This window comes from Homo sapiens, chromosome 7 (assembly GCF_000001405.40).
Source record: "Homo sapiens chromosome 7, GRCh38.p14 Primary Assembly".
In the NCBI taxonomy this organism is placed as follows: domain Eukaryota; kingdom Metazoa; phylum Chordata; class Mammalia; order Primates; family Hominidae; genus Homo; species Homo sapiens.
Window position 1 is genome coordinate 258,203 of NC_000007.14, and position 12,836 is coordinate 271,038.

The 12,836-nt window shown below is 60.1% G+C and overlaps 2 protein-coding genes across 2 annotated transcripts in view; both read left to right on the forward strand.

Moving 5' to 3' along the window:
* Nucleotides 1–2,570, forward strand: part of FAM20C (FAM20C golgi associated secretory pathway kinase) — a 68,202-nt gene extending 65,632 nt beyond the window's left edge. The window contains exons 9-10 of the mRNA NM_020223.4: nt 444–503; nt 1,529–2,570. Coding sequence (NP_064608.2) covers nt 444–503; nt 1,529–1,778 — 310 coding nt within the window. The 3' untranslated portion in view covers nt 1,779–2,570. The remainder of the gene's footprint in view (nt 1–443; nt 504–1,528) is intronic.
* On the forward strand, nt 4,521–6,012 carry LOC124901807 (G patch domain-containing protein 8-like). Its single transcript, XM_047421171.1, has 2 exons — nt 4,521–5,257; nt 5,310–6,012. The coding sequence occupies exons 1-2, from the start codon at nt 4,607–4,609 to the stop codon at nt 5,910–5,912; spliced, it is 1,254 nt and encodes a 417-aa protein (XP_047277127.1). The 5' UTR covers nt 4,521–4,606; the 3' UTR covers nt 5,913–6,012.
* Nucleotides 6,013–12,836: the final 6,824 nt, after the last annotated feature.

Genomic DNA, 12,836 nt, shown 5'->3' on the forward strand with positions numbered 1-12,836 from the left:
GGACCCACTGACTGGGGTGCTGGAGATGGGTGGGGTGGACCCACTGCCTGAGGTGCTGGAGATAGGCAGGGTGGACCCACTGCCTGGGGTGCTGGAGATGGGTGGGATGGACCCACTGCCCGGGGTGCTGGAGATGGGCAGGGTGGACCCACTGCCTGAGGTGCTGGAGATGGGCAGGGTGGACCCACTGCCCGGGATGCTGGAGATGGGTGGGGTGGACCCACTGCCTGGGGTGCTGGAGATGGGTGGGATGGACCCACTGCCTGGGGTGCTGGAGATGGGTGGGATGGACCCACTGCCCGGGGTGCTGGAGATGGGCTGGGTGGACCCACTGCCTGGGGTGTCGGGTACAGGCAGGTGGACCCATGGCCCAGCTCCCAGCCCAGCAGCCTGTTAGGAACCTTGTACAGGGGCCCTTGACAATTCTGCTTTTCTTCTGGAAGGTTTGGGAAGTATTCGCACGACGAGCTCTCCATCCTGGTGCCGCTACAGCAGTGCTGCAGGTACAGCCCCTGCCGGAGCCGGCTCCAGCTCCACCCTCCTCCCTACTGCGCAGGAGACAGAGGAGGCCACAGCCTTCCCCACCCCACCCCGGCCATCACATGGGAGAGAAAAGGCCCCGAATTCAACCACAGCCCTGAATTCAACCCACACCCTCACTCGGCGGCCTGGAGGCGCAGACCTCACCCGCCCACCACCCCAGGCCCATCCAGCTCGAGCCCCCTCGGGCCTCCACTCTGTGTCCGTCCTGCCACCCCAGTTACAGAGAGAGCTCGAGGCCAGGGCAGACGCCAGCTGAGACACAGGGACCCTGCTCCCGCACGCAGCTGCCGGTCTCTGCCACTGCCACCTTCTGCGGGGGTTCAGACCCCCTTTCCCCCGTTTCATGGCTGGGGACGCAGGCTTGCAGGGCAAACGCTTTGTACTTCTCTAAGGAGGCATCACAGCGCCCGTGTTGTGCGGATGTGCTGAGCTGGGGTCGGTCTCCTGGGTGAGTGGGCCGCCCTCCTCACCTCCCCATCCTCCTGGGTGAGCGGGCCGCCCTCCTCACCTCCCCATCCTCCTGCCGGGCCCCTCTGGGAAATACACCGGCCACCACATCCTGCAAGGGCACCCTCATCCCTTGTGCAGGTGAGAGGCGGCAGACCACGCCGAAGCAGGTCACACAGCCCGGAGGCTGATGAGGTGTTGGATCGCAGGCCCCTCTCTCGCGGTCTCTCTCGTCTCTGCCGTCTCTATCTGTGTCTGTCTCTGTCTCTCTCTCTGTCTCGGTCTGCCTGTTTCTCTTTATCTGTGTCTCTTTCTGTCTGTCTGTCTCTGTCTGTCTGCCTTTCTCTCTCCCTCTCTTTCTCTCTGTGTCTCTCTTTCTCTGTGTATGTCTCTGTCTTTTTCTCTCTGTCTCTGTCCCCCTCTTTCTCTCTCTGTCTCTCCCCCCACTCTCTCGATCTCCCTCTCACTTTCTCTCGCTTTCCCGTGGGCAGGCATCTCCCCTGTCCCGTGCCAGGCCTGATGCCCCTCTCCTCCCCAGGATCCGGAAGTCCACCTACCTGCGTCTGCAGCTCCTGGCCAAGGAGGAGTACAAGCTGAGCCTGCTGATGGCCGAGTCTCTGCGGGGGGACCAGGTGGCACCCGTGCTGTACCAGCCGCACCTGGAGGCCCTGGACCGGCGGCTCCGCGTCGTGCTAAAGGCCGTCCGGGACTGCGTGGAGAGGAACGGGCTCCACAGCGTGGTGGATGACGACCTGGACACTGAGCACAGAGCCGCCTCGGCGAGGTAGTGTCCGCCGGCCGCTGCGCTGCCCGGGACGGAGACAGAGGCGCCGGACCTCCCAGCAAGCGCATGCGCCCGTCGTGAATTCAGTGAATTCAGAGGCAGGACGGGATCATCCGGAGTCGGGAGCTGCTGCCACAGGAGGCGAGGCTCCCCAGGTCTCATAGGACACATTTTGTCAGTGTTTGACCAGAAAAGCTTGGGAAGGAAGCGCTGTCTGTGCTCACGGACAGAGGCGGCCGGCGCCGGAGGCATTCCATCCTTTCTGTAGGGAAAGGAGCCTTTATTTACTATTTTGTATTTATATTTGATGAATAAGTATATAAACAGAGACGTGTACACAGATGCCAATCACCTACCAAACCAAACACGAGGACCGCCCTCCCTGGTTCTGGGGGCCCCTCAAGGCCAAGCTCACCCCTCAAGTGCTCTCACACTCGGGACCTAATTCAAGTAAAAACCCTTTCTCCTTCCTGGGGCCTCGGCTCCTGGAGGGCTGGAGGGTCTCGTCTGAGGACGGGAGGAGGCTCTCGCTGGACGTCTGGCCTGTGCGCTGGTGGACGGATGCCTACGTGGTTTTGGAGGACCCGATGACCAGGCGTCCTGCGAGTCCGCCCGCTGGCCTGCAGCACCCACCTCGGACTTGGCTGTGGACGGTTGGTGCAAGTGCATCCTGCAGGGCTGGCTGTGCGCAGCTGTGGGCTGACCTTTGCAGAGTTTTGTGGAATAGTTTGCAATGTCATAAAAGTGCAATAAAGGTACAGCAGATGTGTGTCGGCCTCACGGGGCGGGTCCCTCACACCCTGGTGTGTGGCTGCCTGTCCACCCCCTCTCCAAAGAAAAACCAGTCCTGGAACCAGGCATGGCCAGGAGTCGGCATTCAAGGTGGCCTGGACCCGAGGCCTGCTGGGGTCGGAGGGGGCTGCCTGCCAAGCCCTGGTGCAAACAGGCCAGGTGGGGCCCCACCTCCAAGGCAGGGCGGTCCGTCCTGGGTTGCTCTCAGAGGCTGGGGCCGCGACCCAAAGCTGCGGCGGCCCCGAGGGCAGCCCCTGTCTGTAGCCCTGGCATGGGCAGCTTCCAGTGTTCCAGCAGGACTGGGCAGCCATGCGTGGGGCAGCTGCCCCGGGGCTGTGGTGAGTGAGGGGCACCGTGAAGGGTGCCAGCCCCTTCCCACTGCTGGCCTCGGGGCTGCAGAGATGGGGCTGGGCTCCCAGGCCAGCATCTCCCCTGCTGGCACCATGTGAGGGGCAGAGGCAGGAGCCAGCATGCTGGCTACCACCTGCCCAGCGTCACACGGCCCAGGAGCCCTAAGAAATCAGCTGTGGGGCCGGTCACTGTGGCCCCCTCTTCTAAGAGCCTCTGCATCCACTCACCTGTCCGTTCCACAAAGTCCCTGACACCCATTTGAGCTGTGCCAGGCTGGGTGCAGCGGGGCCTGAGAGACTCAGCTCTGTCCTCATCACCGCCGCCTTGCAGAGCAGCGGGAGACGCACAGTAAATGCACAGATGGGTCACAAACAGGGCCCTGCACATGGCAAGGAAGTCGGCAAGGGCAGAGGATGCGCCAGGCAGACATTGCGTGTGGGGCAGCCAGGGAGGTGCTGTGGCCCCTTCATCCACTGGCTGGAGCCGGCCCCCCCATGTCTCTCTCTGTTTGGGACTGAACCAAAAGAGGTGATTAAGTGGCGGGAGGGTTCGGGTGGTCCCGGTCCAATCTGACAAGAGCCCTTATGAGGAGAGGAGACACAGGGACGGCCCCGTGAGGACACGGAGAGGATGACATCCACGAGCCACAGAGAGGCCTGGAGGAACCAGCCCTGCCGTGCAGTGACCTCGGACTCCAGCCTCTGGGACTGTCTGTGGTTGAAGCCACCCCATCTGTCCATGGTGCTGTCACGGCATCCTGAGCGGACTCATGCAGGCAGCCTCCAGGAGGGGCTTCAAGGGGCCCCATGAAGGACGGGAGGCAGTGATGCCAGGAGCAGGGCCGGAGGCGCAGGTGGAGAAATGCAGCGGCCGTGCCCACCCTGCCGCGTGGGGCTGGCCCAACAGTGCCAATGTCAAGACCCACAGCCATGATAGAATTAAGTTAGTGTTTAAACAGACATGCCCCGGAGTCTGGACTGATAGAGGGGAGTGCTCTGTGCAGAAGCAGCTGTCGCCATCATCCGGCCACCACCGCCAGGGTAGCAACCACAGGGGAGGAAAAGTGTGCAGATTCCAGGGCCTGGGAGAGACCAGCAGGACCTGCTGCAGGGCTGGAAGTGTGGAGAAGAGAAGGAGAAAGTGTGACCTCCAGGATCTGACTTCAGCCACGGCATGGGGCACCCTTCACTGTGGGGTGTTGAAGGAAGACCCAGAGGGGCAGGGAGGAGGCGTGTGGTGTCCCTGCAGGCACCAGATGACAGCGGGGCTGGGTATAAAACATGGTGCTGCCAGCAAGGAGCTGGAACGTGGAGCCACAGCGAAGGGAGGAGGGTGCGCACGAGGCCTATGACAGCTCATGCACGGCTGGAGTCTGGGTAAGTGGAGGGGCAGCAAGGGTGGGGCTGATGGTCCAGACAGAGCAGACGACCCTTGCTGTCCACTATGGAAGGACACACAAGAACCATCATGCGTGTGAGAGCCTTTGGCATGAGAGACACAAAGCCACAGGGAAACACATGGTGTGGAGACTGTGCTGAGAGCAGAGATGCAGAGATGCAGAGACAGCAGAGATGCAGAGACAGCAGAGAGTGGACGAACGAGGAGGGTGTGGGGTGGCTGGGGATGGCGTGAGGTCCAGGGAACAGGAGGGGCTCTCGTGCACCAGCGTGGGTGGAGAAATCAAACAGGATGAAGCCTCGACAGAAAGAACAGGACACGAGACTGAGGAAGCTCCGAGAGAGCAGCGAGGGAGACCAGTGGCTGGAAAATGAGAAAACAAAGCCACTGAGGCCCCAGCAGCAGCCCCAGTGCCAACCAGCAGGGGGCACAGGACAGAGAAGAGGAAGCGGCAGCAGCCCCAGCGCCGACCAGCAGGGGGCACAGGACAGAGAAGAGGAAGCGGCAGCAGCCCCAGCGCCGACCAGCAGGGGGCACAGGACAGAGAAGAGGAAGCCGCAGCAGCCCCAGCGCCGACCAGCAGGGGGCACAGGACAGAGAAGAGGAAGCCGCAGCAGCTCCAGCGCCGACCAGCAGGGGGCACAGGACAGAGAAGAGGAAGCGGCTGCAGCCCCAGCGCCGACCAGCAGCGGGCACAGGACAGAGAAGAGGAAGCCGCAGCAGCCCCAGTGCCGACCAGCAGCGGGCACAGGACAGAGAAGAGGAAGCGGCTGCAGCCCCAGCGCCGACCAGCAGCGGGCACAGGACAGAGAAGAGGAAGCCACAGCAGCCCCAGTGCCGACCAGCAGCGGGCACAGGACAGAGAAGAGGAAGCGGCTGCAGCTCCAGTGCCAACCAGCAGGGGGCACAGGACAGAGAAGAGGAAGCCGCAGCAGCCCCAGCGCCGACCAGCAGCGGGCACAGGACAGAGAAGAGGAAGCGGCTGCAGCCCCAGCGCCAACCAGCAGGGGGCACAGGACAGAGAAGAGGAAGCCGCAGCAGCCCCAGCGCCGACCAGCAGCGGGCACAGGACAGAGAAGAGGAAGCGGCTGCAGCCCCAGCGCCGACCAGCAGGGGGCACAGGACAGAGAAGAGGAAGCCGCAGCAGCCCCAGCGCCGACCAGCAGGGGGCACAGGACAGAGAAGAGGAAGCGGCTACAGCCCCAGCGCCGACCAGCAGGGGGCACAGGACAGAGAAGAGGAAGCCGCAGCAGCCCCAGCGCCGACCAGCAGCGGGCACAGGACAGAGAAGAGGAAGCGGCTGCAGCTCCAGTGCCAACCAGCAGGGGGCACAGGACAGAGAAGAGGAAGCGGCTGCAGCTCCAGTGCCAACCAGCAGGGGGCACAGGACAGAGAAGAGGAAGCGGCAGCAGCCCCAGTGCCGACCAGCAGCGGGCACAGGACAGAGAAGAGGAAGCCGCAGCAGCCCCAGCGCCGACCAGCAGCGGGCACAGGACAGAGAAGAGGAAGCGGCAGCAGCCCCAGCGCCGACCAGCAGCGGGCACAGGACAGAGAAGAGGAAGTGAGGAAATGGAAGAAGAGGGTTGACCTGAGCTGAAGGACATGAACTTCCACGTGAAATAGCCCCAGGGCCGGGCACAGTGGCGCACGCCTGTAATCCCAGCACTTTGGGAGTCTGAGGCAGGAGGATTCCTTGAGCCCAGGAGTTCGAGACCAGCCTGGGCAACACAGTGAGACCCACCCCCTCCATCTCTACAAAAAATACAAAAATTAGCCAGACACAGTGGCTCACACCTGTAGTCCCAGCTGCCCCAGAGTCTAAAGCAGGAGGCTCACTGGAGCACAGGAGTTCGAGGCTGCCGTGAGCTACGATTGCACCACTGCACTCCAGCCTGGGCGACAGGATGAGACTGTGTCTCAAAAGAAGAAAAAAGGAAAAACTAATAGTTAAAAGTAAATAAATAGTCCCGGTTTCCAGCAGAATAAAAGGAAGGTCAGCAGAAAGGCCAGGACGGCCTGAAGGAACTTCAGGGCTGGGACTGTGGGGTGGAGCCGTCCCTTCCGGATGCCGAGCGAACGGACCTCCCCGCAAAAGCACAGGGGTGAGGGGATGAAGTCATGTTCCACACACAGGATTTAGACACGGCTCATGGCCCATGCACCCGAAACCAGGATGTGCATCGAGGAGAAGGAGGAATGGGGCACAGTGGGGCGGCAGAGGCCCCGGGGTGCTGACGAGAGGAGCCCCGAGGGGGACATGGAGACAGGAGCAAGAGGACCCTGCAGAGAGGGGCGGGTGCCCGCCCAGAAGAACAAGCCAGGGGAAGAGGTGGAGATCCTGGCACGGCCAGGACGCCGTGGCTCAGCCTTGAGTGCGGCCACAGACACATCGTAACAGGAGCACCCAACGTCATTTTTCCATCAAGAAGAAGAAGGCGATATCACCGTATTGGGGAAGGGAGTGTTTGAGTGGGGAGATGTTGAGCTGTGACGTAAGCCTGTTATTTGGAAACACGGAGGTAAATACAAAAACCAAACACGCCCAGCAAAACAAGGAAGGTGATTTTCTCTGGGTCTTTGCCAGGGGCAGGAGGGGTAGGAGGGGCAGGAGGGGCAGGGCCTGCTGGGTTTCATGATTGCGGTGCTATTTCAGACTTTTTAAGCACTATTCACTGGTTTGATACAAAGTCAGAATGCAGTTTGACACCCACTAGCCGGGCCAGAGCTGACAGCCTCCTGGGGAGGGGTCAGCCCAGCCCCACGGCAGCCCTGGTGCACACCCACAGTGAGACCTGAGTTCATCTTTTACCTGCTTTGCTCCTCACAGTTACTCGGGGGTAGGAATTGTGGCCCCGTGTGCCCACGTCATAGTTGTGTAAACCGGGGCTTAGACAGTGGGTCGACTTTCTGGAGCTCAATACGGATAGTGCCTGCATGTGGACCCCGCCCGGACAGCCGCCCTCTTCCCACCTACCCGTTAACACCCATGCTGCATGCAAAGCCACCCACCCGCAGAAACAGGTGGTGCAGAGAGGGGGCGGGGGGATGAGACCAAGGGCTGAGGAACAAAATGAAGAAAAAGGGCTTTCAATTAAGTTCTTTCCCTTGGTGCAGGCTGCTTCCCACGGAGCACTAAGCTGCCACTTTGTCCGCAAGTAGGACAGTGTCTTGCCAGAGAGGCCGACGAGAAGCGTGGGGGTTGAAATTCAAACATGATTTTTTACAAACCAGGGGAAAACCTGGGATTTCACTTCACAGAATTGAGAGTCAGGAAGGGAGTGGCTCACAAGGGGGGCTTCTGCCTGGCGCTGGGACCCCCGCCCCTGAGCCATCGGGGCCGCGCACCTGGCAGAGACCACAGAGCTGAAGGTGGGCACCACTTTTCTCTGAATTAAAGTAAATGAATGAAGAAATAAATAAATATATGAATGGGGATTCGTGTGTGGCCTGGCCCTCTAGGGCCATGGGACAAGATCTGAAGAACAGGCTGCTGGGGAATGCGGGTGGTGGGCACAGCCCAGCCAGGATGCAGAAGCCTGCTCTGAACACAGAGGACACAGCCCACCCCAGCCCACAGCCCACAGCCCAGCCCAGCTGCAGAAGCCTGCTCTGAACACAGAGGACACGGCCCACCCCAGCCCACAGCCCACAGCCGAGTCCGGCTGCAGAAGCCTGCTCTGGACACAGAGGACACGGCCCACCCCAGCCCACAGCCCACAGCCGAGTCCGGTTGCAGAAGCCTGCTCTCAACACAGGACACTGCCTGGCCCGAGACCACGTCACAGAAGGGCAGGGTTCCTGGCCCTCCCAGGGAGCTCCCTGGAGGCACCTGCGCCGTCCTCACCTGGGAGTGAGCTCCATATGCAGATTCCCGGGCCAGGTCCCCAAGCCCAAGTACAGAGGTTGGGGGCAGAGGCCTTCAGCTACCGAGGGTCCTGGATGCAGGGGCTCCCAGGCTGTCCTTTTGGGACTCACGGCTCAGCCCTTCCCCACCTCCTGGGGGGACCTCCCCGGAGTACCCTGACTGCACAGACACCCTCGGCACACCTGGCCTGCAGCCAGTCCGTTCCACAGAACCCCCAAGCCACTGTCCCCCAGGAGGGCCTTCACCAGGGCAGACGACAAGAGAAGGTTCCAGAAGCCTCTGCCTGCCCAGGTGGGCCTGAGAGGGGCGAGGAAGATGGATGGGCCCAGACCAAGCGATTGTCTGAGGAGCAGAGTTCCAGCTCCCAGTGTGTGGGGGATGCGGACATCTTCCTGTGCACAGAGGGCTCTGCTGACCCTTTCAGTGACAGGGGAAGGGCGCCTGCATTTGGAAGAAGGGGCTTGTAGCCGGCCGCCTGCTGGGAGGGCGTCCTCCAGAAGGGGAGGCATTTGCTCCTGCCCTCGCAGCTTGTCCTGAAGTAAAATTCCTCTCCTGGGAAAAGTGGGAGAGGAATTAGGAGAGCCCCAGGGCTGCTGCTGTGTGGGGTCTGGGCGTGGCGGTGCCCGCTGGGCCCGTACCAGCCATACCCTAGCCTAGGTTGCCCAGGTCGGCCACCCAGCTAGGCTACTGTGGGGGGCTCCGGCCAGCCGGCCCCTTCCCAGAGCGCCTGCCCCGCCCATCTCCGTGGGTCCCAGGGCTCGGCCATCCTGTGAGCTGGAGGGACCCGCAGGTCCGCAGGTGAGCGCAGGTTCCCGGGACACCTGCTCATGTCTGGTCCGCGTGCGTCACCTAGAGGACAGCCGGGGAAGAGCAAGAACCAGCGTCCGCGTGAGCGGCGGCCCCAGCCGAGAAGCAGGTGCCTTGTCCTCAGCGCCCAGGGTCAGCATGGCCCCACCGCCTCCCTCAGCCCGGCCCAGAGCCCAGGCCACATGGAGCTTGTGCATCTCCTGCTCCTGCCTCCCCAGGACCAGCTCAGTCCTGGCAACTCCATAACTCCTGCCAGGTAACCGGGTTCTTCTCCTGTACGTCCATTCTGAAAGAACACTGTGCAAATTCAGTACCCTGCACACCAACACACCTACGACACCTCCCTTAAACGTGGAACCGGAAGCCTGGAATTGCCCTGGAGGGCAGCGGGAGCTGTTGCTGCCCCCCCACCGGCCTTCCAGAGCCTCCGAAGCCCCCTGCATGCATGGCGCCTTGGGGCCTTTGCATGGCTGCCCCCTGGAGCTCTGCGCCTGCCCAACCCCTTCACTTTGTTAATTCCTGTCCTGACGCGGCTCAGACGTTTCATCTGGGAGGATGGTTTCAGGTGCACACCACCCCACCCAGCCAATTTTTCAATTTTTTATAGAGATGGAGTCTTTCTGTGCTGCTCAAATTGGTCTCAAACTCCTGGCTTCAAGTGATCCTCCTGCCTCAGCCTCCCCAAAATGCTGGGATTCCAGGCATGAGCCACCGTGTCCAACCCCGTTTTATAAATAAGATCATGTTCTGAGGTTCTGGGAGGACATGAATGTTGGGGGCACACATTTAACTCACTACTGTCTTCCAATCCAGATGAATTTTCTCTCCCTTTCATAGCTCAGTCCGTTTTGTTTTTAAGCGTGCTGTGAGTCTTAACGAGGATAGCAAGTGCCACTCCCCATTCGGAGTAGACCATCATCTCATTTAGAAGAGACAGCGTGCATTAGATACAAAAACTCAAAGGTGTTTAGATATGAATGTGGCAGAGACACAAATTAACTGCGAATCGCAGCTGTCATCCAGGGCAGATTTCCTAAAGAGGTGCTATCTGTCTAAACAGCAAGAAACATTTATTGTAACTCATGGCTATGGTGCCTTCCAGATTTTCGGGAAGTAAAAGGCCATGATTGGTGTCCCCCAAGGCACAGAAATCCTTATTTCGGAGGAAAAGCTACACACCAGCCAGGGTGGCTGAGAACCCTGCCCTGAAGAACAAATCCAACTTTCCCTCAGCCACACCTCAAAGAATATGAACATAAACAGAGCCTCACTCCCTACATCCCAGGCCGAAGGCCACAGCTCAAACCTGCACAGTCCTGAGGCCCTGCATGTTCTGCCTGACCCTGTGTTTATGTATTGGCCACGTGCAGAAATCCTGCAATCAATGAGAGATACATTTGAGTGTCTATAAACTCAACACATGTTTACTGAGCACCTACTATGTTACAAATGCCCTTGATGCTGGGGATGGGATGGGGAGCAAGACAGGCTCTGTCCTAGGAGGATGCCGTCCTGGGACACGCCAGCAGGTCAGGGCAAGTGCACGAAAGCCGTAGGCTTCAGACTTTATTGGCGACAACCGGGACCACTGGAGGACATTCGGCAAGTCTCTGGAGTGCACAAAACGGAGGTTCTCTTCCTGTCTCCATTACACTCTCCTCCTGTCTCCTTTACGCTCTCCTCCTGTCTCCTTTACGCTCTCCTCCTGTCTCCTTTACGCCCTCCTCCTGTCTCCTTTACGCTCTCCTCCTGTCTCCATTACGCCCTCCTCCTGTCTCCTTTACGCTCTCCTCCTGTCTCCATTACGCCCTCCTCCTGTCTCCATTACGCCCTCCTCCTGTCTCCTTTACGCTCTCCTCCTGTCTCCTTTACGCCTTCCTGGCTGCTGGAGGACGGCTCAGCGGGCCCTGAATCCCCACAGTCAGAGCAGGTCACTGACCTCCGTGCCGCAGCCTCAATTCATGAGACTGCTGAGTCCAAGACATGACTCAAAGCTCTGCCCTTGACCCTGGACTCAGTCGCTCCCTCCTGAGGCTTAGGCTGCAGGGGATTTCTCCATTCTCCGCCCTCCTTCCATGGCCCGGCTTGCTTCGCTGGTGGGAAAGGCAGGGAGGGGGCCAGGGGTGCTGAGTAGAACCTTGAAGCTGCCTCCACAATCAGGTCAGCAGTGCATGAAGACCCTCCTCTCATCTAGGGTCACCTCCTCCTTGGTCTGGTCCCGGAGGGGTTTCGGGACCCTCCTCTCATCTGGGGTCATCTCCTCCTCGGTCTGGTCCCGGAGGTGTCTGGAGACCCTCCTCTCATCTGGGGTCACCTCCTCCTTGGTCTGGTCCCGGAGGGGTTTCGGGACCCTCCTCTCATCTGGGGTCATCTCCTCCTGGGTCTGGTCCCGGAGGTGTCTGGAGACCCTCCTCTCATCTGGGGTCATCTCCTCCTTGGTCTGGTCCCAGAGGGGTTTGGGTACCCTCCTCTCATCTGGGGTCATCTCCTCCTCGGTCTGGTCCCAGAGGGGTTTGGGGACCCTCCTCTCATCTGGGGTCATCTCCTCCTCGGTCTGGTCCCGGAGGTGTCTGGAGACCCTCCTCTTTCCTGGGGTCATCGCCTCTGTGGTATGGTTCTGGAGGTTTCTGGAGACCTTCCTTTCTCCTGGAGTCATGTGCTAGCTCTTTGCACCTCTCCTTGCCCAATGGCTCACAGAGACCCCCTCCATTCCTGGTGGCCGCGGCAGCCCGTCTTAGCCCGGGGAGCCCAGAGCTCACCCTTGGCCTCTCACTGCTGGCCACTCTCCTGGCCCTCTCCTGTCCTTCCTCTGCCACATGGCGTCCATGGGAAACATTCGCCCAGCAGCTGTCCGTGGAACCTGCAAGGGGCAACCATGGCAAAGCCACCCTCTCCTCGCCCACCTTTCTTTCTTTCTGTTTATTTATTTATTTTTGAGACAGAGTCTCACTCTGTCGCCCAGGCTGGAGTCCAGTGCCACGATCCCGGCTCACTGCAACCTCCACCTCCCGGGTTCAAACAATTCTCTTGCCTCAGCCTCCCGAGTAGCTGGGATTACAGGCATCCACCACCACCACACCTGGCAGATTTTTTGTATCTTTAGTACAGATGGGGTTTCATCATGCTGGTCAGGCTGGTCTCGAACTCCTGACCTTGTGATCTGCCAGCCTTGGCCTCCCAAAGTGCTGGGATTATAGACATGAGCCACTGTGCCCGGCTTCGCCCATCTTTCTTAGCTGTAAGTCGGGGCCTCTGGGCCTGATCCCCACAGGGACCAGAAGTGAGAACGAGGACACCCACAGTGGTACCCGGGCCATCTCTCAGACCTCCTGCCAGCTCCAGCTTCAGCTGGCCAAGGGGCCCAGAGTCATGGTCTGGTCATCCAAACACCCTTTGTGAGTTCCGCATGGGTTGGGGCTGGGGTGTCTGCCTCCCAGGCACTAGGGAAGTTCCCACTGTGTAATCTGGGACCTGTCAGAAGTTTCTGTAAGGAGGCAAGCCCACCTCTGCCTTCCCTAAGTTTCTGGCAGAGTGAACGAGGACATCTTCCCCCACCTCCAGCCTCCCCAACCCCAGCGGCCTCTCCTGCCCTCTGGCCTGGAGGCAGAACCTCCCACGGCCACCCAGGCTGGCCAGCTGCCACCGTCATTCCCAGAGACCTGTGCCACAATTCCTCAAGGTCAGCTCAGCCTGGGTGAAATTCGTTCATTCTTTAATTCCTCTCAGTGAAAGTTTGAAAGTCTGCAAATGGAGTTTCCTGCTTAAAGAACAAACAACAACAACAAAACACACACACACAAAGTTGGGGGCATGTTTTAGATTAGAGGAGAACAAACTGATATAACGATC

Bases quoted from the DNA above. Each gene is read 5' to 3' on its own strand.
- LOC124901807 (XM_047421171.1), top strand. From the start codon at position 4,607: ATGAAGCCTCGACAGAAAGAACAGGACACGAGACTGAGGAAGCTCCGA. The intron at 5,258-5,309 runs GCCGACCAGCAG...CTGCAGCCCCAG, and splicing joins GAAGCCGCAGCAGCCCCAGC to CGCCAACCAGCAGGGGGCAC.